Genomic DNA, 26,927 nt, shown 5'->3' on the forward strand with positions numbered 1-26,927 from the left:
AAATTCTTGTCCTTATCACTGCAGAAACTGTAGCTACTCCAGACCCTCAATTTCAAACACCCTTTTTTTGACCACCATTTTCCTTTTTCCAGCTGCCTCCCAACTCCGACACACTTCAATGACTCCAAATTTTCACTTTTGTGTCTCACTCACTTTCTTGCAAATTTCCCCTCCTCCCAGCTGAGACTATATGGCCCAGCCTGTCATCCACCCTCTCTAACACTCTCCACTCTCTTGCCCCACAAATAATTGTACTCCCAGGGGAAAACTGCACTCTGCTGAAAACCAGGCACCCACTCCCTCTGCTCCTGCACTCAGGTGGCTGTGCACAGCCAGAGAGAAACACACATGCCTTTTGCTCTCATTTAATCATCAAGCCCAAACCTCCAGTGGGCACTGGATGATGTTCTACAGACTCACTCATTTCCTGAGTCCATAAGTCTGCCAGACTTCTTTGTTATCTTAATAAAAAAATATATAATCTAAGCATGTTATGAATACCAACTGATTTAATTATCATCAAACTCTATGAATCTGTTCTATAATAATCACTATTTCACAGCTGAGGAGATGCTGGCACAGGAAGAGATGAAGTGACTTGCCCTGGAGCCCAGGCACCCAGCTCTAGAAGTGCTGCCCTGTCCCCAAGCAACAGTATCTTGCCTCCTCCTTCCTCCTTAAACCTCTAAAACCTTCCTCAGCCTTCCTTACACCTGTTGCCTTGCTTCCTATTTCAATTTGAAAATAGATGCAATAAAGAGAGAACCTTCCCTGGATCCCACCCCCACATCTCCCCAGCTGCTTGCCTCTGTGCTTCCTTCTCCACCTTCGCTTGTTATTGTAGCTGGAGTGTCTCCACTCATGTTAGGGGCGAATTTCCTCCATCATATCCACATCATATCCACATTATATCCACAGCTCAACCCTCAGGTTCTTTCCTGAGTGTCCGCTTTGCACACTGCCTGGTTCCACAATGCGGTCTCCCACCCATCTCACACCCTGCATGCTTACTTATTCATCATCTGTTCTGCTCTACTACAGTGAGGGGCAGGGATTCTGGGTATCTTATTCACTGCAGATTCCAGCATCTAGAGCAGTACCTGGCACCTAGAAGGTGTTGGTATTTAATGAAGTCAGTCATTTTATATGTCAGGCTCTGGCCTGGTGCTGGGGACACTAGGGTGATTCAGACAGGTCCAAGTTTACAGTCCCATAGGGGAGACAAACACATTACCTGACAAATTTGCAGGCAGCCATTTATATTTTCCATCTTACAAAGCAGCCGTTATTGTACTTGAGAGGAAATGCACTCAAGCCGTGAACTGTAGCCGTGAGCTCCCCTACCTCAGGACAGAAAGCCCCAGGCTCCAGCCCTTACATTCCTGGGCCTCCAGGGCTCCCTGGACTTTAGGAAACATCTAGTAAGGGAGACCAAGTCCACTTTGACTCAGAGCTGTGGGATGTCAACAAGGTGCTTCCCCTCTCTGGTCCTCAATGTCTTCGTCTATTACAAGAGATGATGGTGCCAGCTCAGCGAGCTCCACAGGGCTGGGGCAAATGGGACAGGGAGGGTGACAATGCTTTGTGGACAGAGAGGAGGAATTCTGAGTGGCTACTGGAAAGGCACCATGTTTATTTGACAATTTCAAACATGACAGAACTGCAGAACACAGACATCAAGATTCCCCTGTAATTCCATTTGGAGTCTAAAGCTTAGATTTTGTTTTGTTTAAGCAGTGGCAAACATTATGTATAGATATAGATGTGGGATCATAAAATGTGTTTAAAAGTTATTGATGCAGGACAACTTTGCATATCAATACACAAGCATTTATTTGATTTGTTTTAATAGCTGTGAAATATCCCACTGTATGAAGAGACTAAAATCTGTCCTTGTGTTGTGGATATTTGGATTGATGAACCATTGGAACAAAACAGAGAGGGCAATCAAAGCATTTGACAGCCTGGCAGATCAAAGTGAGAGGTTTATTACAGAAGACAGTAATGCTAAAAGGGGAGGAGAGCTAAGTGAATCCACCTGCTGCAATCAGAGCCGAGAATCCCACCACCCTAAAAGCCAGGAGACAACGCGGCCAAAAGGGCAGAGGCCCCCAGGGCTCCCAGCCATGCCAGATGCAAACTTGTCATCCCACCCTGTGTGTGGGCTTCCTATGCCCTGGACAGTCTTTCCTGAGGCAGAGCTGTTTTAAGAGCTTAGAGCACACATTCTACAGCAGAATTTCTTATGAATGAGGTCCCTGTTCTGTGCTCCTCACCTATCCTGGGCCCTTTTCCTAACTTGACTTTCGGTAGTGGGTGGATAGAGGCCCCAGGTAAACACCAGGCCCCAGGTGGACATCAGGGCTCAAGTGGACACACAGGCTCCAGGTGTATATCAGGCCCCAGGTATATACCATTTTCCTGGTACGTATTAGTAACCAAGGGGACACCGGACTCCAGGTGTACATCAGGCTCACAGGTGAACACCCAGGCCCCATATGGACACCAGCCTACAGGTGAGCATCAGGCTGCAGGAGGATACCCAGGCCTTAGGTAGATATCAGGCCCTACAAGGACACCAGGCCTCAGGTGGACATCAGGGCCCAGTTGGGGACTCAGGTTCTAGGAAGACACCCAGGCCTCAAGTAGCATCAGGGCCAAGGCGGATACTAGACTCCAGGTGGACATCAGGCCCTAGTTGGTCACTAGGCCCTAGGTGGACACCTGGGTCCCTGGTGACCATCAGGCCCCAGATTAACTCCAGGCCTTAGGTGAACATCTGATCCCAGTTGGATATCAGACCCCAGGAGAACATCAGTCCCCAGGTGGATATCAGCTTCCAAGTTGACATCAGGCCACAAGTGGACACTGGACTTGAGGTGTACATCAGGCCTCAGATGGACACCCAGGCCCCAGGTGTACATCAGGCTCAGGTGGAAATCAAGGCACAGGTAACACCAAGGCACAGGTGGTTACCTAGGCTTCAGGTAGACATCAGACCCCAGGTGGACACCTGGGTCTCCGGTGGTCATCAGGCCCTAGGTGGAAACTCAGGTCCCAGGTGCACATCACGTTCCAAGTGGACACCCAGGCCCCATGGTGATACCCAGGTTCCAGGTGGGCACTGGGCCCCAGATGAACACCAGGCTCCGGGTGGATACCAGAACTTGGGTGGACACCCAGCTCTGAGGTGGATATCGGGCTCCAGGTGGACATCAAGCCTCAGGTAGATATCTAGTCCCCAGGTGGACATAAGACCCCAGGTCGACACCAGAACCTGGGTGGATACCTAGGTTTCGGATGGATGCATCTCCAGCTGAACATCAGGCTCCAGGTGGACACCCAGGCCCTAGGTGAACACTAGGTCTTAGGTGGACATTAGGCCCCAAGTGGACAACCAGGTCCCAGGTGGACACCCAGCCTTAACATGGACATCGGGCCCTAGGTAGACAGCAGGTTCAAGGTGCATATGAGGCTCCCGATAAACACTGGTCCCCAGGGAGACCCTTGTCCCCAGGTGAACACCAGCACCCAGGAAGACATCCACCTCCACCTGCACATCATTCTCCAGGTTTATACCTAGGCCCTGTGGGAGCACCAGGCCCCAAGTGAGTACATAGATCCCTGGTGGCCATTAGGCACCAGGTTGACACCCAGGGCTTAAGTGGACATGAGGCCCCAGATGAATGCTAGTCCCCAGGTGGATAAATAGGCCCCAGGCATACATCAGATCTGAGGTCTATACTCAGTCTTCAGGTGGACACTAGGCCCCAGGCAGACACCAGACCCCAGGTGGATACCAGGCCCTATGTAGACACCAGTCTGCAGGTGGACAGCAGGCCCCAAGGGGACATTATGCCCTGGGTTGACACCTAGGCTTCAGGGCAACACTAGGCCACAAGTGGTTACCTATGCCCCAGGTGGACATCAAGCTTTAGTGGAATTCCTAGTCAGCAACTGAACATCAGGCCACAGGGGGATGCCCAGGCTCTAGCTGAATACCAGGCCTCACATGGACATTAGGCCCCAGGTGAACAGCAAGCCCCAAGTGAATACCTAGGTTCCTGGTGAACATCAGGAAGCAGGTGGCACTCAGGCCCTACACTCAGGCCAAAAGAGAAATCAGAACATATGTGGACACTCAGGGCCCAGGTGGCTATCAGGCCCCAGGTTTATATCACTTTCCTGGTAGACATCAGTACCCACGTAGACACTGGACTTCAGGTATACATCAGGTTCCTAGGTGGACACCCAGGCCCCAGGTGGACACCAGCCTACAAGTGGACATCAGACCACAGGAGGACACCCGGGCCCCAGATAGATATCAGACTCCAGAGGAACACCCACGTCTCAGGTGGACATCAGGTCCCAGGTTAATTCCAGGCCCCAGGTGGAATTCAGGCCCCACCTGGACACAAGTCCCTAGGTAGATACATAGGCTCTGTAGGCCCTGGGGAACATCAGGCCTTAGGTGAAGTTCTAGGCTACAGGTGGACATCTTGCTCCAGTTGGACATCTGGTCCCAAATGGACATCGGTCTCCAGGTGGACACAAAGTCCCAAGTTGGACATCAGGCACCAGGAGGACTAGTCCTCTCTGGTGATCACCAGCTCCCAGGTTGACATCAGGCTACAAGTTGACACCTAGGGCCCAGACGGACATGTGGCCCCATATAAACACTAGTCCCCAGTCAGCTAGGGCCTGGGTCCCCCTGGAGCCTGATGCTTAGCTAGAGACTGGATATCCACCTGAGGCCAAGGTATCTACCCAGGGACTGGTGTCCAAGTGGGGCCTGATATCCACCTGGGGACTAGGTATCCACCTGGGGCTTGATGTCCACCTCGAGCCAGATGACCTTCTGGAGTCTGATGTCCACCACAGGCCTGGGTGTCCATCTGGGGCCTGGTGTTGATTTGGATTCTAGTGTCTACCTGGAACCTGGGGCCATGTTGTCTACTTGGAGCCTGGAGTTTTCACCTGGGGCCTGGTAGACATCTGGCCCCAGTAAACATCAGCCTGGGGCCTGGTTGTCCACTTAGAGCCTGGAGTTTTCACCTAGGGCCTGAAGATCACCTGGGACCCGGGTGTCCACCTGGGACATCAGGCTCCAGGTTTACACCCAGGCTCCAGGGTACAACAGGCCCCAAAAGAACTCCAGACCATATTAAACATCAAGTCTCAGGTGGATGCCCAGGCCCCATGTGTACACCAGGCCCCAAGTAGACAGTGGACACCAGCTGAACATTAGCCCCAAGGTTGACACCCATACTACAGGTGGGTATCAGGCCCCAGGTGAATACCTATCCTTCAGGTGTGCATCGGTCCCCAGGTGAACATAAGGCCACAGATAGACATCAGGTCTCAGGTGCACATCTGGCTCCAGGTAAACATCAGGCCTTAGGTGGATACCCAATCCCCAGGTGGACATCAGAGACCAGGCTGACACAAAAAATTCCCAGTGGGTATCATGTCCCAGTGGATGTCCAGGCTCCAGGTAAACACCCCAGCCCCTCTGTAACCGTAACCACCGTAACGAGAAATGGTAGGTCTAAGTACCATCATGCTCCTTGCTCACAAAAGGATGCATAGATATTTTATTCAAAACACAACTCCATTCATCACTCTGAGCAGCGATGTGTAGAAAGGAAAAGAAAAATAAACCAGGCCTCAAGGATTCCATCCAAAATGAGGTAGACATTATAAGGGACAGAAATCCCCAAATTAAATGTTATAGTTGACATAGAATAGTCTTTAAAACCCATTGATTTTCTCACACATTTGATCCAAGGCATTATTTCCAGAGACTGAACCTAGAAAGAATTGCTTAAGACTAGGAGTCTTGTTCCAGCCTAGATCCCACACTGTTGAACATCTATACTTAGTATACCACATTATACATAGCACTGACATGACCTGTGTGCATTTAATTTTCTAATGCTTGTTCATCTCTGGCATATATATATATATATATATATATATATATGACCTATGTAACATACATACATACAAGTACACACACACACAAAAAGTATATAAGGGTAGGATAGTATAATTGTGCAGTAACGTTTTTTGTGAAAGTGGTGGAAAGTGGATTGCGTTGGCGACATGCTGGAATGTGCTTCCATTGGCAGAAGTGAGGCTTTCAAAACTAGTAGTTTTCAGTTTTCTCTAGCAACTGGGAATATTAATAATTGAAGATGTGTTGGTATAAAAATAATCATAATAATCACACTGAAGTGGTGTTAATAATTATATCACAAGATATAATAAACATTATAGATATTATAAGATGTCAAAAAAAAGATGCCATAAAATCTTTCAGATGATTGACATGTTAAATGCGGCCTCCTGTGCCGCCCTGGGGCGCCACTCTCGCTGGGTTCTTGGCGGAGCTCACCCTACTCCACCTGCTCAGCCCAGGCTCCTGCACCCTGGAGTCACGCCATGGGAGCAAGGACCTTGCCGCCGCGGCCCTAGACAAGGACAATGAGGAGGGGGTGCACGTGGAGTCCCCGCGGATAGGCTGGACGCAGGGCAGGAGCCTTTGCAGGGGTGCACAGCCTCCTCTGGAAGCCCTGGTCACTGCCCGATGCCTGCTGCGCCCTGCGAGCTCCGCGGCGGTGGAGCCAGGCCTGCACTGCCTGCACTCGGCCCCGCCTGCGGACCCTCTGCCCTTTGTCTTGCCCATGGGGCCCGGGGCCTCAGCTGGCCCGGGGTTCCTGAAGTTAGCTGACAATGGGCTGGCCTCTGGGACTGGGTCGTAGGCCTTGTGCACTGGCCGCCACTTCACCAGCACCAGGCCTACCTGCGATGCTGCTGGAGATGCGGGATGCCCGGGCTCGGGCTCTGCTGGGTCCCCTGGCGCTGCGAACCCCGTCACCTTCCATCGCGGCCACCATGCTGCCCGCTGGTCAGCCCTGGTCTGCAGCCTTCCTGGGACCACTCCGGCCCCAGGGAGGCATCACTCACAGCCGCTTGCGACACCGGGGCCGCCTGAACCTCCGCCAGGGCTGCGCCGCACAAGTGGCTCCAGCCAGCCAGCCCTGGCCCGGGAGCAGGACTTTCCGCTCCCCCAGAAGATTGCCCTGGGCAGGGATACACGGCTATGGAGGATGTAGCGGATACCTTCCGAAGTTTGTGGACACTCTTCTGCCACACCAAAAGTTTCACCATCAGCTGCGATGCCGACTGAGGCGCAGAGACCCCTCCGGGATGTGGACCAGGCAGTGACTTTGCTGGGCATCCGCAGTGCTGACCACCCCAAGTGCAGATCCCCACTTCGTGTTCCTCCTCCTCCACGTTCCACATCCAAAGTTCTCGCACCATTTCTAAGCAGGAGAAATCAAAAGAAACTGAAATCAGAAAGAAAGAGAGAGAGAGAGAGAGAGAAAGCCATGAGCAAAAAAAAAGAGCAAAACCTTTTGGAAAGCGTAAAACGCCCCAAAGCCAAAAGCTAATTCTTACCTCTTTTAAACCTTCTGCACTTCTCCAATGATTAATGATTTATTTTTTTTAACCACTGGCAATTCGCAATTATTAACTTCTCTGGCATTAATAAATAGAAATTGAATCACATGTGGGAGTATAATTTGTATTATATGAAGGTTTTCATATTTTAAAAAATAATTGTCCAGTTTTTCTCCATGGATTAACAATTAATGGGAAATTTTCAACATTGCTGTGTTAATGTCTCCTGAGATAATTAGATGTGAATAATTTTTATAAACAGAATTTCCTGGGTGGAATTTCTCATCTTCAGGAGCTCCATAAATAACCGTGTCCCAAGAGAACTGTGAATTTGGGAACTGCAGGAACTGAGTCCCAACTCGTCCAGCCTGGAAGTTTTTGGGTGATCATTCTTGCAGGTGACTTCACTGCCTTCTGTTGAAGGGCCAGTGAGAGCCTGGGGGTTTCAACCTACAAGAAGAGCCTTACCATTTTAGGGTTAGCATTCACAATGAGGAAAAGGCAAACTTTTTTGATATTCTCTGTATGTAATAAAAATAGTTACCAAAACAAAGCAAAGTGTGAGTGGTGACTATTGAGAGGACCCTTTCTATCTTTGCTGGATTCCCAGAGATTTCTGAGTTTCTTTTGGAGTCAATAGTATTTCCATGTTAATTCTGAGCTCTTAAAACCCACAATATGAGTTGCAGCCAGTGACTAGAGTTGCAGCCAGTGACTAGTGTTGCAGCTTGTTAAACTGATCACTGGTGGTAGAGCCTTTTCGTTCTGCTCACTTCTTAAAAGGTCAGCTTGGTCAGGGATTAGTGCTACCCTGCCAGAAATAAGCAGTTAGGAATCAAGTAAAGGAGTCAGCTAAAAGCGTAATTACTAAGTAGTGAGGTCACAGCTAGATGGTTGTTGATCTCATTTTCTCTCTGCTGCTGATTTCAAGGTTTATACCGTGTTTTGATGTAACATAGAATGTATAGTATGAAGTACAAACAGTCTGTTAGCTTCTTGGAGCTATACTCCATTACCGGAGCAGGGGACAACAATTTGAAGGACATTACTACTTAGTTTAATCTGCCTTTGGCTAGAATAAACCTCAAGTTCCAAGGGCTGGGTTCAGTTGTTATGCAAATTTAGATTGTTGCGGTAAAATTTCCAAAAAAAAGGATAGGACTCTTTAGATGAAATAAGAATTTAACTGTATTTGAACCCTGTTGAAGGCCAGACAAGTTTAGGCAAAATCCCATGACTGAATACTCTGATGAGTCCCTTTAAATTCCGACATATAATCTATGTTGGTAAATATGATACGTGCACTGGAAAAGGATGTGTATTCAGTAGTTGTTGAGTGTCACGTTCTGTATATGTCAGTTTATGTCAAGTTTGTTCATTGTGTTCATCCAATCTCCCTTTCTCTTATGGATTTTTTTCTGTTGGTTCCATCGGTAATTGAAAGGTATGTTAAAATCTATATTGTAGATTAGTCCATTTTTCTTTTAGTTATATCAGTTTCTGTATTAAATAACTTGAAGGGATATTTTATATTTATACATATTTAAAATTGGCATACTTTTCTAGTGACTGACATCGTAAAATCTTTTTTATCTTAGCAATAGTTCTTGGCTTAAGTCTAAACTGTCAAAAATAACATAGCAACATAAGCTTTGTGCTGATTAGTGTTTGCAGGCATGTTTTCCATTGTTTTACTTCCAAATGTCTGGATTCTTGTATTCAGATAAATTAATTAAAACATAAAAATAAATATAAAGCATTAAAAAGTAAATATTCTAAAAATCCAGCCAGAGATGTTTCACTTTTAATTGAAGTGTTTAGGACCACGGCTCTCACACTGTGTGCTAAGGTGCCCTGAGATGCTGTGTTTAACTGACAGGGGCACCAGTGGATAGCGTGTGAGTCTGTGTATGTGTGTGTCTGTATTTGAGATGGGGGTCTCACTCTGTCCCCCAGGCTGGAGTGGAGTGGTGAGGTCTAGGCTCACTGCGGCCTCTGCCTCCCTGAGTAGCTGGGACAACAGGCATGCACCACTATGCCTGGCTAAGTTTTCTAATTGTAGTAGAGATGGGGTTTTGCCAGGTTGCCCAGGCTGTATATTTTTGAGAGAAACAAAGCAACATTTGCTGGAGACCTTAAGAACTACTAGCCTGAGGCAGTTCAGAGTTTCAAAAGTAGTTAGTTAGAAGTGCATTTCTTTACCTTTAAGGTGGGTGGTGTTAATTACCGCGATAAAACAAGTATTGTGCTAAAGTCAGTGTGGAATAGGAATAAGGTCCAGTGGTTGAGATCCAGTCCGATTTTAAGATTTGAAAAGTTGTGCTGTGTGCCCAACAGGCACACACATCCCATTAGTAAGTAAATTGTGCTTTTTTAAGAAAGAAACAAAATTACTGTTTCTACTTCCATTGCGTGTTATTTTTTATGTATACTTGCAAATCCATCACCAAAATAAAAATAATGAACATATCCAGCACTCATAAAAGTTTCCCCTTGCCCTTTTATAATCCCAAACTTTTTCTATCTTCCTACCTTACCACTCTCCCTGGCAATCACCAATCTGTCACTGTAAAATAGTTTGCCTTGTCTAGACATTTATACAAATGAAGTGTAGTATGGACCCTTTTTAGGAGGCGTCTGGCATCTTTCACACAGCATAATTATTTTGAGATTCAGCTACATGGCAGGCATAAATAGGCCATTAATTTTATGACTGAGTAGTATCCTATTGTGCAGATCGGTCACAACTTATATATCCATTTGCCTGCTGATGGGTTTTTGCATTGCTTCTGGTTTTGGACTTATGCAAATACATTTGCAATGAACATTCATGTATATAAGTTCTTCTAACTTTGAGTAAATATTAGGAGTGTAATAATTAATAGGTTTAGGTTTAGTTTTAAGAGACTGTCAAAATGTTTGCCAAAATGGTTGTACCATTTTATATTTTTATCAGCAGTATATAAGAATTCCACACTCTTGCCAACATTTTGTATGGGCCTTCTTTTAAAATTTTAGACATTTTCCTGTTTGTACAATAGTATTTTATTGTGGTTCCCTAATGCCTAATAATATTTAGTATCTATGTACGTACATGCCATCTGTATATATTTGGTAAAGTGTATGTTCACGTTTATTTTGCTTCTTTCTTTTTTGTTTTTTTCTTTGCTTATTTTCTCATTATTAAATTTTAATAGTTTCTTTATATACTCTGGATTCAAATCCCTTATTAGATATGAGACTTGCCAGTATTTTCCCCTTGAGTTTTCTTTTTTGTTCTCATAACACTATCTTTCAAATAGCAGATGCTTTTAATTTTGATGGGGTCCAATTTATTAATTGTTCTTGTGCATTTGGTTTTTGGGGCTTCATCTAAGACATTTTTGATTAACTGAACATTACAAAGATTTTTTTTCTGTATTTTCATCTAAAAGTTCATAGCTTTTAATACTTTATTTTATATTTAAGTCAATGGTCCCATAAGCGACAGAGCTTTAACCCAAGTCGCTGCCGTGCATAGCTGGACCCAGGGGCTTATATAAAATCATCAAGAAATGTTCTCCTTCTTTCTCTTGCCACTTTTCCTTTTGTTTTAGCCTCATTTTTTCCTTCTGAAGATGACTCTCTTCTCTCTCTGTAGCAAGAGATAGTGCTACAAATAACACACTTACTTTGTCCTCGCAGACCACAGTAGTAGAAAAAGCAAGAGTCCTTCCTGATGATTCCAAAAAAAAAGTACTGAAACAGTGGCTATGATCCAAGGGTAGAGTCTTACATGGTTTCACTGTGTTAGCTAGGATGGTCTTGATCTCCTGACCTTGTGATCCGCCCACCTTGGCCTCCCAAGGTACTGCGATTACAGGCATGAGCTACCATGCCTGGCCACAAGACATAGATTTTCTATATGCACATCAAGGGAGGTAGTGTTTTAGGTTGCTATAGGACAGAGCTATCCTGTATTCCAGCTGGCTTTTTTAATGATCACCTCTAGGGCTGGGGCTGGTAGGTTGGGTCAGGCTTAGTTGGTTCTCATTGAAATGGTCCTCAAAGAAAAGGGGGGCTCTCAAGAGGAGAGTTGCTGAACACCCCACCCAAAAATAGCCACTGTGTACATACCTACAATTCCTTGACATTTTATAAGCAACTGGTTGGGTGGAAAATGACTAGAAATTCAGTTGTCATTAACTTTCCTTTATAATGTCAGTAGAATGAGCCATACATTTCACATGTTGTGGGTTATGTCCATGATAGTCATTTCTGTATATTAAGTATCAATTTGGAGTATCATCTGAAGAAATATAATATTTTGTGACGTTATCCTTAAATTAATATTTTTAGGATAAAGAATTATAGGATAAAAGAAAAGTCTAGGATAGAAATAAAAGAATAGAGAAAATAGGAACATGGATATACCGCAGAAAATGGCCAAACAGGAAAAGTACTTGTGAGAGGTATTGAAGTACATAATTGATATCACATAGACCTCCAGAAAATTACAACTACTGGCATAAGAACAAACTATCTGAATAGTCTTTGCTAATACTGAGTCTTTTCTGCTTGCAAAAGAAGTAAGAATGGTAAGGAATTGGGACATTGTTCAGATAGGCCTCAATGCATTTATTCATTTACCTGTTGATGGGGTTTGGGGGTATTAATGAAAGATGTTAATAAATAATAATGGGCATGTGAGGTAATCATAATTGATTTGTCCATTTGGTCTGAAGAAAATGTTGCCTACCTTCTTTTTTGTCGAGGGATTCATTTTTAATGCCATGTTGGATTCTATGGCTTACTAAATGTGTAATTGCCTATTTATGGATTCTGAAGAATTTTATAAAATGTATTTGCCAAACATTTTGAAAGCTTAGAACTTCTCCAAGGAAGAAGTTCTTTAGTGCTTTAGTGCTGCCCTAACAAATATGGTAGCCACAGCCATGTGAATATTGAACACTTGAAATGTGGCTAGGCTGGACTGAGATGTGCTGTCAGGGTAAAACACACACCAGATTTTGAAGACTTAGTAGGAAATAAAATTAAACATATCTAATTAATAACTTTTATATTGGTTAGACATTGAAATAATATTTTGTATGTATGTTACATATAAATATGCATTCATGTGTATGTGTAATTAATATCTTCATATGAAATACTTCTCAATTACAATTGGAAGAATGATGACTTTGTGGTGGACAAATCTGGCACAAACTTGATCATGTGCCTCCTGCTGGGATGTCCTAGGAAGACCACAGCATTATTTCTGTGATTTTCTTGTGAAAGATACATGACCTAAGTCTGGATGTGGAAACACATCAGATGGAAAAAGGTGAACACATCCTTCATAAATGCTTATGCTCTTAAAACTCTTAAGGTTATGAAAAATAGGGAAAAAAAGAGGAACTCTTTGAAGTTGAAAGAGCTTAGGAGACATGACAATTAATGCAATGGGAAATCCTGGATTGGATCCTGGATTACAAAGTTCAAAAAAACTGTATTTAGGGCACAACTGAGAAAATTTGGGTGAGATTATAGCGTCTGTTGATTGGACAGTAGTGTTGGGTGAATGCTGATATCCTGATGTGGATGATTATATTCTGGTTATGAGATCTTTTCCCAGATTCCTCATCATTTGCCCAGTGGGTTCATGGACAATGTGGCGATGGTAGCAGGAGAAGATGCTACATGTTTCCAATAACGTGAACTTCCCTGCAGCAGTGCTGCCTACTGCCCAGATGAGTGCCCTGACGGCCGACAATGAGCAATAATGAGACCCTGGATAGAGGAACTGCCTTGCCTAGACCAGACAGATTTCTGGTAATGTGGTAATAATATTTTTTCCCTTCCTTCATGGAAGTGGTAAAGAATTGCCCTCACTGGAATAGATGCATATCAGAATATGGACTCCACTTCATATGCTTCTGATAGCATCAAATTATTTACATTTGCTGAGTTCTTATTCTCTGCTATCATACAATTACTACTGATGATGGAGCTTATTTTACAAGAAAAGAAGTGATGCGATGGGCTTCAGCCCATATTTATTGGTCTTGTGACATCCCACATCACCCAGAGGAATATGACCTCACAAGAATCAGTTACTTCACCAACTGTGAGACCCTGAGGGGCTGGGTTTCTATCCTACAAGATGTGTTAGAAGCCCTGACCCAAGAGCCCTGCTACCCAGAATGCATGGTTTCATGTAGCAAGGATCCTTGTGATGGTGGTGATGATGATGGTGAGGATGGTGATGGTGAAGGTGGAGGTGGTGATAATGAAGTGATAGTTATGTTGAGGATGATGAAGGTGATGATGATGGTGAGAATGGTAAAGGTGAACAAGGTGATGGTGAGAATGGCGAGGGTAAGAATGGTGATGGCGATGATGATAGTGTTGGTGATTGTAAGGATGGTGATGGCGATCATGGTGATGAAGATAATGGTGCTGACAGGGCTATGAGGTAATGGAGGCAGAAAAGTGGCAGTTTCCAGGAAGTATAGAGCCAGCTGGGAACTGCAAGGTAACCTTAGTGGGGGTGGAAGATGTAGGGTCCCTGCCTCATTTCTAGACATCTGGAGAAAGCTCACCCCTCACAGTAGTTCCAGGAACCCCTCCATCCAGCATTTCCTTCTCACAATCAGCATGGAGCTTTTGGGGTGCAGAGAAGTGTCTTCTATTCACTGCACTCTGTGGGAAGGGAAAAGGGGGAGTGCTATTTATGAACCCAGTATAATACAGTAGTTACTATGTGCCAGGCAACATGCTGGGTGGTTCCTTATATGTTATCTCATGAAATCCTACAGCAACACAAGGAGACAGGCATAACTACCCCATTATAAAAATTCTGGTAAAATAAACTAAAATTTACTGTCTAGCTATGTTTAAATTTACATTTCAGTGGCATTAAATACATTCGCAATGTTGTGCAACCAATTTCCAGAATGCTTTTCATCTTGTAAAACTACAATTCTGTAACTCATTTAAAAACAACTCCCCAATCACCACCCTCCCCAGGACCTGGTAGCCACCATTGTCCAGTCTGTCTCTATAGATTTGATGACTCTAGGTGCCTTAGAAAAGTGGAATAATACAACATTTGTCTTTTTGGTCTGGCTTATTTTGCTCAGCCTAATGTCCTCAAGGTTCATTCTTGACACTGCAGGTGTCAGAATCTCCTGCCTTTTCAAGGCTGAACACTATTCCACTGTATGCATAGACAGCATTTTGTTGATCCGTCCATCCATCCACGGACACTTGGGTTGCTTCCACCTTTTGGTTATTGTGGATGATGCTGCTCTGAACATGGTTGTGCAAGTATCTCTTCCAGGCTAGCCCCATTATATAGAAGAGTATAGAGAGATTCTGGGAGGAGGGATGACCTTCCTGGGGCCTTTGTTGAGGTCCTGGTAGAGGATCTCCCAGACCTCAAAGGCAGATCTCCTCTCCTCACCCCACTGCCTTTCTTAAGACCTGCCTCCTGCTCCACCACACAGTGCCCACTCCCTGGTACTAGACTTGCTAAGGCCTCTTGATCCCTGAAAGTTCAGGGACAGGAACTGGTGGGCACAACTACAGTCACTCACTTCTCTGTCCCCTACTGCAGATTCTGTGCCAAACAATACATGATAATGACCTGCTTTCCACTCTTTCACCAGATGTGGATGAGGCACCTACTACATGCCAGGCATGTGTGGGCACTGGACAGAGACCCCTGGGAAATAAGTAGATGTGAGCTCCTCAAGGCCAGGGGGATCCCTTTCACTTGCTGCTACCCTGTGAGGGATGGAGGGGCACCCTGAAGCATTGGAGAGGTGCATGAGTGACCTAGCTCAGATGATGATATCATAGTAACCCTGTTTATTATTTATTATCACCTACCATGTGCCAGGCCTTATGGGAAGTACTTTGCACACATTACCTGCTATAAAGCTCAGAGACAACTGTAGGAGTGAATCTGTTATACCTCCCACTTTACAGGGGAGGAAACTGACACCCAGAGAAGTGAACCATTCTTCCTCAGGCCTTGCAGCTAGTCTCTGGGATGTGGATCCAGGCGGTCTGACCCAGAGATCCCCTCATCCTCTTGGTTTTTGCTCCTGCAGCCCTCTGGCCTGTCCCCAGGACCCTGTAACCTTGGCCACCCCCAAGATGACCTGGACATGGGCTTCAGCAAAGGCAGCAACCCCAGCATATCTCCATTTGATAGGGAGGAACCTCAGGCCCACCACAGGAGCCCTGGGCTGCAGGTGGTATAGGTGCTGGCTGAACCACAGTGCACCCATGTTGGAGGATGCAACATAGGATGGGCAGCAGCAGGAGGTCTCCCTGCCCAACAACTGGTAGTGGTACCTGAGAACAAAGGAGGAGAAGGAAGCTTTGGATACAGGTGTGGAGAAGCCCAAGGAGGAAGAAAAAGACTTGGACTATGGGCTGCTGGATGGCCTCAAGGACCCCCTCCCCGAAAAGGAATTTTGAGACTTATACCCAGGGCTGAGATGAAAGTGCTTCCTATTTTCTATCCTGGAACTGCTGCAAACCTCGGTGTGACATCACAGGGCCTCATTTCCCTATTTGTAAAATGGGATTTTATGGGGGTTCCCATGAGAGACTGGACCGAGAGCATTTTGAGAATTGTAAAAAATGTACATTGAGGGAATAATTATTATCAATGGGCCATTGCTCTTCCAATAGTTAGTATTCTTTAGCAAATATTGGAAGGTAAAATATGATTTATTGAGGAGGTTTGCAGCAGCTGAGGCCCTCAAGAGTCTTTTCTGTCTCCGTTCAAAGCTGGTCTCTGACAGGGACCTTCTTGGTGCTACCCCTGGGCCCCTCATTCTTTGTGCAGGCTTCTCAGGGTTCTTATTTCTATTGTATCTTGTGGTTCCCTGGTGGATGGCATGCTCCATCTTCACTCAGAGCTAACTGCATCTCCTCCAGGCCCATGTCCCTTGTGCAGCACCCATTGCTCCCTCACCAGGATTCAAAACCTTCTGTGACTGACCTCTGCTGACCTCCCAACTTTATCTCCCCTCATTCTTTCTGCTCCTCCAGTTACATGCCTGAGCCCCTCAATCCTGTGGCTCACACTCTCACCCAAGCTGTTCTCCATCAGGATTTGCTTGGCTCCCTTTTCTGCTAGGCAAATTTGTGTTCATCCTTCCAAGCCTTGCACAGATGTCCTCCTCTGAAAGCTCTCCCTGAGGTCACAGAGTCCTGGAACAAGGTAGTCATTGCTCCTCTGCTGCCTCTGCATTTTGTGCCTTTATCACTTTGGTGTGACTGCCCGCCTCCTGCTGAATGGAGGCATTTTGGCTTTACTCACCTCAGTATCTCCTGGGTCCAGCTGGGTGTCTGGCCTGGCCCAGAATCAGTGCTCATCAAGGGTGTATAGAACTCACAAGGACCCAGGAATGTTTTGTAAATAATACCACCCTCCCACACTTCTCCAATGCTTACTTTCTAAGCTCCTTTACTCTTTGACATTCAAATTTCTAAATGGCCTGTATGTATTTACAAAGCCTGGGAAAACGCCTTCAGAGGACAAACACACCCCACCGGCAAAATGTATTTGCATTGACTAGGATTATGGATGAAATTCAGCCTTCTGGCAAATGAATCATTTGGCATTGGCTGAGTATCTGCTCTGTGCCAGATACTAAGCTGTGATCTCTAGAAAGAGACATGAACTACTGACACAGTCCTTGACCCCGAAGAGCTCAGAATCCAGTGAGCTTGATTTCTTGTAAGTTAGAGACAGAGTTCAGAGCAGAAGCTGAGGCAGGAGAAGAGAAGTAAAATGGACACACCAGAGGCAGTGACAGCCACACAGCTGTCTGGGGACACTGAGTGCAGCAACAAATAGCTTAGGCTGCCTTGGCAGCCCACGAAGGTATCACGGTTTCCTATTGCAGCATCTCAGTGATGCTTTTGTTATGCTGATCTCTGCAAAGCCCCTCTGTACCCCAGCCCAGGATGGTGACTGCCATGCTGTGGAGAAAAGGGCAGTGACCAGGACCACAGGCTCAGAGCTTGCACCCTGGACCACCTGGGAATGGGAGCCCTTCACATGTTCTCTACCTCTGTGTTCAGGTTGGGGGTCCTGGCCAAGGAAGGGAGATGACCCCCATGCTGGGTCAAAAGGACACACTCCCGGGAACAGACTATCTCTTCTTTCTGGGTAATTTCTGCCTCTGCAGTGAATGGTGAAACCAGACACATCCTCTCTGTTGGTATGACACAAAGACAGGCGTTCCTGCTCATGGGCTGAATCTTCAGATGAGGGGAGGTGTAGCACACTCCTGTGCTCTGCTGACTAAGGCAGGGACACATGTCACCCCATCGGAATGAGTGTCAGACCAATGGCTAAAATAAAATCATTTTCAATATTCAAAGGAATCACCTTCATTCATCTACAAATACTTTTCCTTTTCTTTCTTTTTTTTTTTTTTTTTTGAGATGGAGTTTTGCTCTGTCGCCTAGGCTGGAGTGCAGTGGCATGATCTTGGCTCACCGCAACTTCCGCCTCCTGGGTTCAAGTGATTCTCCTGCCTTAGCCTCTGGAGTAGCTGGGACTACAGGCGCCCACCACCACATCTGGCTAATTTTTGTATTTTTCATAGAGACAAGGTTTCACTATATTAGCAAGGCTGGTATTGAGTTCCTGACCTTGTGATCCGCCCGCCTTGGCCTCCTAAAGTGCTGGGATTACAGGTGTGAGCCACCGCACCTGGCCCAAGTTTTTTTCTATAAAACCACATATTGCACTCAAGGTAGGGTAAATGATGCATCATGCCTGCTGGCAACATGGGCCCTATCTGGAAAGCGAGTGCCCACCACCATGGCACAGTGCTGTGCAGTGCCTGTGTGGTGCTGAATCTCAGGAGCAGCCCCCATCCTGTGAACCACAACTACAGGGACCTTAGACATAAGAAAAAATCTCTGGTGGCCAGGCCTGCCAGCAAGCAGATGCTAACCCTGTCCTGGGGGCCTGCAGGGAGGTCGGGCCAGTGGAGAGGTGGCGAGACCCATGTCTGGTCTCCCCAACTCCCACACATGCTATGCAATGGGCGGATGACCACATACCCGATCTGCCTGGAAGGGTCCTGGTGTGCCCACTGCCTCGAAGAGTTATGAGGGGTGCTGCCTCTCACATCTCACCGGTATCGCATTTGAAGGACAAATTATGTCTTCCCTTCCCCACCCTGTGGGCCTCCGTTTCCTCATGTGCAAGTGGGGGATGATATGCTTACATGGTTTTGCAGTGGGGGTATCGATGGGATCCATCTGTCAATGCCTTGCATCCAGTGACCACCTGGAGCACACCTGCAGTTCGCAAGTTAGGCTTCCTGCTGCAGTGAGGGGAGCAAGCACTGCCTGGAGCCAGGGAGCTTCTCTGAAGGAGGTGTTGGAAAGGACCTGTTCCAGAATTTGGGCTTGTATTGGGAGCTTGGGGGAGGGTTGAAATAAGCCTTTGCTCCAGATTGGATGCTGTCAGAGGCAGGGTGGATTCTATCACCTGGCATCTTCCCCAATCTTACCTAGAAGGAAGGAAGACAAAAACAAAGCTAACGCTGCAATTGACAAAGAGGTAGTGGTGAAGACATAGACACAGGGGAGGGGGTATGAGGTCATTTTTGTCCATATTTTGCATGAGCTGAGCCATGATAGCTACCAAGTGACCTTGCTTTGTCTTGACCCATCATGGTCACAGAGCGACCTTGTCTGATGCTGACAACCTGTGCAGTTCAACAGGAGAACACCAACGTCTTGCCAGCAGTGGCTGCTGTCCTCCTGAGGCCTCGCTGCTCCTCCTCTGGGGCCTACTGCTGACCGTGGGAGGTGTGGAGTGGGAGGGGAATATGCCATGGGTTTTTTTTTTTGCAGAGCAAGGGCAGGGGACTCTGATGCCTTCAGCTCTGGCCATCCTGAGTGCTGTGATCTGCTTCCCCTGCTTCCTACACCACCCGCAATCCCACCACGCTGCTGCAGTCACTGCCAACTCATAGTGCCTTCTAAGGGCCCCAGTGTCTCTGGGACACCCCTCTCCCCTGGGAGGGAAGCAAGGTGCTCATGAAGGTCCCAGGTGGAGGTGCTGAAAGAGTGTGGAGGTGCCTTCTTGAGTGTCAAAGTCTGGGATTCCAGCTTTCAGCTTCAGGCTCCAGGTGTGTGTGCCGAAGTGGAATTTTCTGCTCTCATTCGCTCTCCTGTCTGGTCAGAGGAACTTGGGGAGTTTCCTCTCTAGGGGAGGGAAAGGGCCTGGAGAGGTGGCCTTGCCCTGAACTGGGAAGGGGTGGGCATGGGAAAGCAGGGGCCTGGGCTCTGCCTACTGCTTGCTGACAGCTTGGGCACAGCACTGCCCTCCCTGGGCTCCTGTCTCCTTTCTCTGTATGATTAGGTGGAGGTGGATGGGATTCTGCTTCTACTCCCAGTCCTTGGGCACCATATCAGGTACTCACACACTTACGACCCCATCTGGTCTTTGGAACAGCACTGGGGGATGGATCTGTCAATCTCACGTTGCAAATGTTTGTTCTAAATCCCACACTCTGAAGTCAGAAAGACCTGGGTTAGCCCTCAGCCACTGACGGTTGCTTGCTATGTGACCTTGGACAAGTCACTGCCCTTCTCTGAGCCTCAACACCCACATTTACACAGGGGAAGAATAATACCTCCCTCTTGGGCTGCTGTGAAGCAGAGCTAATGCGTACATTGCCTCAGGCACATTGCAGGTGCTCAAAGTGTTGGTCTTTCCTTCCCTTTCTAGGTCCCCATTTCATCATCTACACAGTAGGGAGTAACTCTGTCTGGATTATAAATAAGACAATAGGTGAATGCACTCAGCAAGCCTGGGGGCAGGGATGCCTAGAGAAGCTTCTTGCAAAGGTGAAGAATGTGTGCTCTGAGCCCCATGCTGAGAGGCAGGTGAGAGGACAGCAAGCCCAGCAACTGAGGCCTACAAAATGCCTCCTGCAGAGAGGGAGGAGGAGCAGTGTTCTAAGGCGGGTGGGAGGCAGCATCCCCAGTACTTGCAGGAGGAGCAGGACTGTTGTGCTTGCTCAGGGGGGTGGTAGGTTAGGTTCTTAGGTATCTGCTGGGTATCAGATGCTGCACAAGCATCGTCTCCTTGAACTTAATCTTTCCATCATCCCTGAGAGGTGGGCATTACAGGGGCTTAGTGGGATTGAAACACAGGTCCCCTGAGCCTGTGCTTTTTCTACAAGGCAACTTAGTTCACATGTAATAATAGGACCCAAAAATACAACTGCTATGCTGTGCTCACCTGATTTCATAACATCCTTGTGACCTGCGAGGTTGGTGTACTGTCATCATTTTATGGATGAGGAAACTGAGGCTCAGAGAGGGTGAATAATTTGCTCATCCTTCCAAAGAACTAAAGGGAAGAGAAGTGCTATAGCTCTGGCGCCTTCTATTCCTGGTAGGAAGTGTGCAGTACCCAAGGCCATTCTGACCCTAGTGCAGGCAGGAGAAAAGGCACATCAACAAATCCAGCAGCAAGCTTCCACTGAGGGCCTCCCTGACCTTTCCTTGCACTAGTGCTGTGGGAGAAACAGCCTTGTTCCTTCACCTAACATGGCTTCTTGCCGCCCCCAGGATAAAGCTCAGAGTCCTCAGGTCTGTGTTTGAGAGTCTTCATGGTCTGGTCCCACCTGCATTTCCAGCCAAATCCTCCACCAGGGTTCCCAGTGCAGCAGCCCTGGCCACCTGTCCCATCCTACCATCCTGACTTGGCTCAAGCTGCTCCCTCTGTCCCATGGTCTTCACACATAGAACAAGGAGAAGCTTGATATAGGCTAACCTGAATTTTCCATTTGAGAGCATTTTCACCTTCTGGAAACAGACATTTCACCCAAAATTCCAGATTCCCTGCTTCTCTGAAAATAAATACATACATACATACATACATACATACATGCATATATAAATCTGCTCTTACTCTGCACTATTCTGTTTTCTGAGACAGAGTTTCACTCTTGTTGCCCAGGCTGTAGTGCAGTGGTGTGATCCCCACTCACCGCAACCCCTGCCACCCAGTTTCAAGTAAGTCTCCTGCCTCAGACTCCTGAGTAGCTGGGATACACAGGCATGCACCACCATAGCCGGCTAATTTTCATGTATTTTTTTTTAGTAGAGATGGAGTTTCACGATGTTGGTCAGGCTGGTCTCCAACTCCTGACCTCAGGTGATCTACCGGCCTCGGCCTCCCAAAGTGCTGGGATTACAGGTGTCAGTCACCTCATTTGTCCAGTCTGCACTATTCCTTAGTGTCAGACAATTTGAGCCAAACAATGTCTTTCTCATTTGGACATGACCTTCAGGGTCTAATTTTTGTATTTTTAGTATAGACCAGTTTTGTTTTTTTTTTTTGACAGAGTTTCACTCTTGTCCCCAGGCCGGACGGTGCAGTGGCATGATCTCAGCTCAATGCAACCTCCGCCTCCTGGGTTCAAGTGATTCTTCTGCCTCAACCTCCCGAGTAGCTGGGATTACAGGTGCCTGACACAACAACCTGCTAATTTTTTGTATTTTTAGTAGAAACAGGGTTTCACCATGTTGGGCAGACTGGTCTCGAACTCCTGACCTTAGGTGATCCACCCTCCTCAGCCTCCCAAAGTGTGGAATTACAGGCATGAGCCAGAGCCTGGCCTCACCTGGCTAATTCTTTGTATATTTGAAGAGACGGGGTTTCACTGTGTTGGCCAGGATGGTCTTGATCTCCTGACTTCGTGATCCGCTGGCCTCGGCCTCCCAAAGAACTGGGATGAGAGGTGTGAGCCACTGCACCGGCCTCAGTGTAGCTTATTATCAAAGTATTTACATAGAAAAATTAATCAAAGGGCACAAGCATTTCAATACTTAGGTTAAGATGAAATCTGTGGCCGGAAGAGTGCCAGACACACATGAAATGTTTTGTGCATGAAGGAACCACAACTTAAAATGATTTTCTGTTATTCATTTTGGTATGTTATTTTGGAAATGTGATTAATCACGTATGTAAAGGACGTTGAGAAGAATTTCCAGATACTCTGATATGCATGACATCTTAATCACACAATATAAAGCAAGGCTATCTTAGGAAATTAGGTATCACTGCCAAGGACCTTTACATGAGAAGATAAATAAAAACTACTATTAAATTTGTAACAGTCAGATGGGCTGGCAGGCAAGTTGCGTCATTTTTTTCTCAGTATTTTTTCTTTTTCCTTGATTCAATAAAACAAACTTAAACGCCAGTTATCTGCAGAACCCTCACTGGACTATGTTTAATGATATGTGAAACACAGCCTGCACACTCACAGATCCTTGCCACGTCCCGTTCCCATCCTCTCAAAACCTGTGTTACCCTGTGGCTAGATTTCTCAAGGAGATGAAAGAGAGAGATGAATGAGAACCACCTTCTTTCAGGTCGCTCTGCACTGCTCCTGCAGGTAGACAATGACCTCTCCGGTGAAGCTATTATCCTTGGCTTGGGGGTGGAGGCCTTTATCCTGGAAAAGAGGCCTCTCAGGGTGGGGAGGTGATTTAAATTCTTATGAGAGAGACGCAGCTCCTCACCTCATCTGGACCTTCACAAACCTAAACTGGAACCGCCAGAAAAATGACTGACAACGGGCCACACAAGCCAGGCAGAGACGCGGGGAGAGGCTGACCACAAGAAAGGCGGACATAGAAGATACCGTCCTCTGGCGCACAGGGCACATATGTCCCAACACACACACACATGCACACAGGGACACAGAGCAAAAGAGTGAGAAAGGGGAGAGAGAGAAACAAGAGAGAGACATACGCACACACACAAACGCACAAAGACATACAGCAGTGGCACGGTAACACCTACACGCAGGCAGCCCCTGAATTTTCAGGGTTCTGCTCTCCATGACAACAACCCACTGGTGAGAGAGCAGCCCACGGGCACACAAGCAAACCTCTCCTTTTTTGAAGAGACTCACTGGCACACCGTCCGTGCAGGCCTGAACCTGGGATCCTGCGCTGCTTGCCCGGCCCTCCACCTGCAGTTTCTTCCTCCTGGACGACCCTCCGTGAATCCCGGCCTCCAGAGACTATCCTGTTGATGCCCTGGCCAGGACTGGTCTTAGCCCGGACTCTGACTAATCCCTCTAGTACCAGGTACTCGGGAGGTGGAGGCAAGAGAATCACTTGAACCTGGGCGGCAGAGTTTGCAGTCAGCTGAGATCCCGCCACTGCACTCCACTGAGTGACAGAGTGAGATTCCGACTATAAAAAAAAAAAAAGAAAGAAAGAAAAGAAAAATGACCGCGGAGCGGTGGCTGCGGGGACTGGTGCTGCGGCGGGTGAAGTGAAGATTGGGAAAGGGGCCTCGTCGACCCTCCCCGAATCCGGGCCTGAGGCTGGGATCTCGCGCTGCCGCCCCGGCGATCCGCCTGAGGTTTCTACCTTCTGAGGTTTCTTCCTTCTGAGGTTTCTTCCTGGTGGTCAACCCTCCGAGAATCCCAGGCTCTGGAGACGATCCTGTTAATGCCTTGGCCAGGACTGCTCTCAGACCCAACTCTGACGCACTATCACACGGGGCTCCTACTTCGCAAAGTCTCGGGGACCCATCCACGGGCAACAGTGGCAATCACTACGACCAAAGCGGAGGCTCAGGCCTTGCGCATGCGCACTGGCGAGACTGAATCCCCGCTTGCTCCCGAGAGTCCGGCGGCAGATCCTTTAAAAAATGGCGGCGACGCGCGGCTGAGGGGACTGGGGCAGCGGTGGCAGCAGCAGCGCAGTCCGAGGCGGCGGGTGGGAAGAGGACTACGAGAGGGTCCTGCGGGAGACCCAAGGGTTGTACCCATAGAGGTCCTGTCATCAGGACCTTCTTGATCGGTCTTCTGCTTTGGTTGCCGGTGGAGGAGGAGCTTCAGGGTGTGGCTGGGCTCTCTGGAATCCTCTTCGACCTGACTATGGATCCCACTGGGTGATCAGGAATGGGGTTACAATGCAGTGAGGCGGGAAGGGTCTCGCTGGGGCACAGAAAGATCCTAAGGGCTGCAAGGCGAACTGTCAGCTGAAAATGCACTGACCCATGAGCCCACTGCCTCCCTCCTTCCTAGGTGGAGCAGTGGCCTGACTTCATCTCCAAGGTTCGGGGCTCTGGCATCCCGACACTGCTTTCCGCAGCATGTGCAAGGAGAGACAGAGGTGAGTCCGAGATGGAGCCAATGTGACCACACGTGGCACTAATGTTCCCCAAGAGCAGATGGAGTCAGTGTGTGTCTTTGAGGCCATATGGGGCGATGCTGAGACGGATAGTGATGTCCAGGTGTGTGCAGGTGGGTCACTGGGACCTCCCACACAAAGCCAAGGAAAAGCCAAGCACACTAGAAAACCTGTGAGACAGGGCCTGTGCCTGAGTCCAAGCCACATTCAGGGATGACTGCCAGAGGGGCCAAGAGGTTTCGACAAACGACACCACACCGACATCCTGCCACCTGTAGGTACCCCTGATGCCACCTCCTCTGCACCCAGCAAAACCCAGTCCCTTTGGCTCCCTGACATCCGTGGCAGCCAAAAGATTCAGTGCTTGGAGGCACTTTCCCCAGGAGCAGAGGAACGGGATGGCCCTCAGGAATGAGAGAGGAAGGGCAGGTGGGATGCAACACTAACTTTTCTAGAAGGCAAAGGTCAGCCACAGTGGGGTTGCCTCCCGCTCTTCCTTGATGGACCACGAAGCCATCACTTGGGACATGCAGACAAAGGGAGCTTTCCTGTCCAAGACAGGTATGGAAGCCCAGAACTCCAGGATCATGACAACCTATCATCCAGAAACAGGTTTGGGGAGGGAAGCAATCATAAAAGGGAGCCCAGCGAAATTTCTCCCTAATGGACTGGGAAGTGTTCTTTGTTGAAGACATTGAGCCAGACTAAGAAACCTCTAGGCTTCACAGGAACTGGGCAGACAGAACAAGAGGGAGGACAGAGCAGAGGCCAATGCCACAGCACAATGCCACTATCACGGGCATCCGGGAAAATGTGCCAAATGGGTGACTTGGCGAGGAAGGCCAGCGTTTGAGTGACAGACATGCTTGCCCCATCTTGTAGCCAGCTTCCTTCTCCGTCCCAGTGTATAGCTGTGGGTAGCTTTCTCAATGAGGGCAAAGGGTGAGAGGAGTGAGAACCATCTTCTTGAAGGTCTGTGGGCACACGCCTGTGGGTGGACAATGAGCACCTGTGAGGCCTTTGTCCTTGGCTGGTTTGCAGTCGTCTTGATCCTAGCAAGGAGACAGCACAGGATGGGAGGGGTATTAAAACTCCTGCAAGACAGCGGAGGCATTAAGCCCCTTCACCAAAGCACAGTCATGGAGAACTCCTGCTATGCCAAAATTAAGGGACTGGATATTAAGACAACAGTGGAAATCACTGTGATGAGACAATCAGCTAGAGCCACGTGGAGGCACACTGGCTGGGCCGACTAAAGCTCCGGTGCTGGACGGCAGGCAGCTGCCCCTTTCAACAATGGCTACTGTGCGGTAGCAGATGGGCTCCTGTTGCAGCCTCGGCAGCGACTGGATCCGGGGTAAAGTTTGCAGCGGCCCGGTAGAGGGTGTGGCCAGTGTCCTGTCCCAGGGTGAAACCCCCAGGAGTCCTGTCCTCAGGACTTCCTTGAGCCAATTCTCACCAAGGGAGGGAGAGCTTCAGGACACCTGCTGGGTTCTCGGGACTCCCCTTCAGATCCGATTTTGGCCCCCGCCGAGTGAGATAGGATGGGCTCACCACATCTGGTGAGGCAGGCAGCGCCTCGCTGCAGCACAGAATGATCCCATAGGTCTCAAGACCTAGTGTCAGCTGCAAATTCACTGATCCCTCAGCCCTCTGCCTCCCTCCTCCTTTGAAAGAGCAGTGGCCTGCCCCGCTTCTAAAAGCCCTGGGGCTCCGGAAAGCCAACCGCCCTTTACAGGACACCTACAAACAGGAACAAGGGCGAATCCGAGGTGGAGACAATGTGACCATGCATGGCACTGGCGTATCCCACAGAAGATGGTGTGAATGTGTGTCACCGGAGGCATACGGGGCGACGCGAAACAAACGGTGTTCTCCATGCATGTGCCGGGGGAAGAGGGGAACGAGTGGCCTTTCCCTCAATGCCAAGGAAAATTGAAGAACACCTGGGAACCGGGGGGTGGGGGGGGGCCTGTGCCTGACCCAAGCCACGTTTTCAAATGCCTACCAGAGGAGCAAAGAGGTTTCTGCAAAATTCGCCCCACCTCCAACCCTACACCGCCCTGGTATCCCTGACACAACTTAGGCTGCCCCCAGCCCCAACCCCAGCCCCTGCCCCAGCCCAGTCCCTTTGGTTCCCTGACATTCGTTTCGGCCAGAAGATCAAGGGAGTCAGTTCACCCAGGAGCAGAGGAGAGGATGTCCCTCAAAAATGAGACAGGAAGTGCAGAGGAAATGCGACACCACCTGTCCTGGAA

At 48.0% G+C, this 26,927-nt stretch overlaps 1 long non-coding RNA gene and 1 pseudogene across 2 annotated transcripts in view; one reads left to right on the forward strand and one right to left on the reverse strand.

Annotated features, from left to right (window-relative positions):
* Positions 1-26,927, reverse strand: part of FAM182B (family with sequence similarity 182 member B) — a 37,840-nt gene that overhangs the window by 4,533 nt on the left and 6,380 nt on the right. The window contains exons 2-4 of one of the 2 annotated variants that reach the window (NR_026714.2): positions 18,761-19,004; positions 7,126-7,328; positions 1,614-6,175 (exon numbers count right to left, since the gene is read on the reverse strand). This is a non-coding gene — a long non-coding RNA (family with sequence similarity 182 member B). Of the gene's footprint in view, positions 1-1,613; positions 6,176-7,125; positions 7,329-18,760; positions 19,005-26,927 lie in introns of those variants that run through there. The other variant, NR_027061.3, reaches the window with a different exon arrangement.
* BSNDP1 (BSND pseudogene 1) lies at positions 15,569-15,935 on the forward strand (annotated as a pseudogene).

Source organism: Homo sapiens, chromosome 20 (assembly GCF_000001405.40).
Source record: "Homo sapiens chromosome 20, GRCh38.p14 Primary Assembly".
In the NCBI taxonomy this organism is placed as follows: domain Eukaryota; kingdom Metazoa; phylum Chordata; class Mammalia; order Primates; family Hominidae; genus Homo; species Homo sapiens.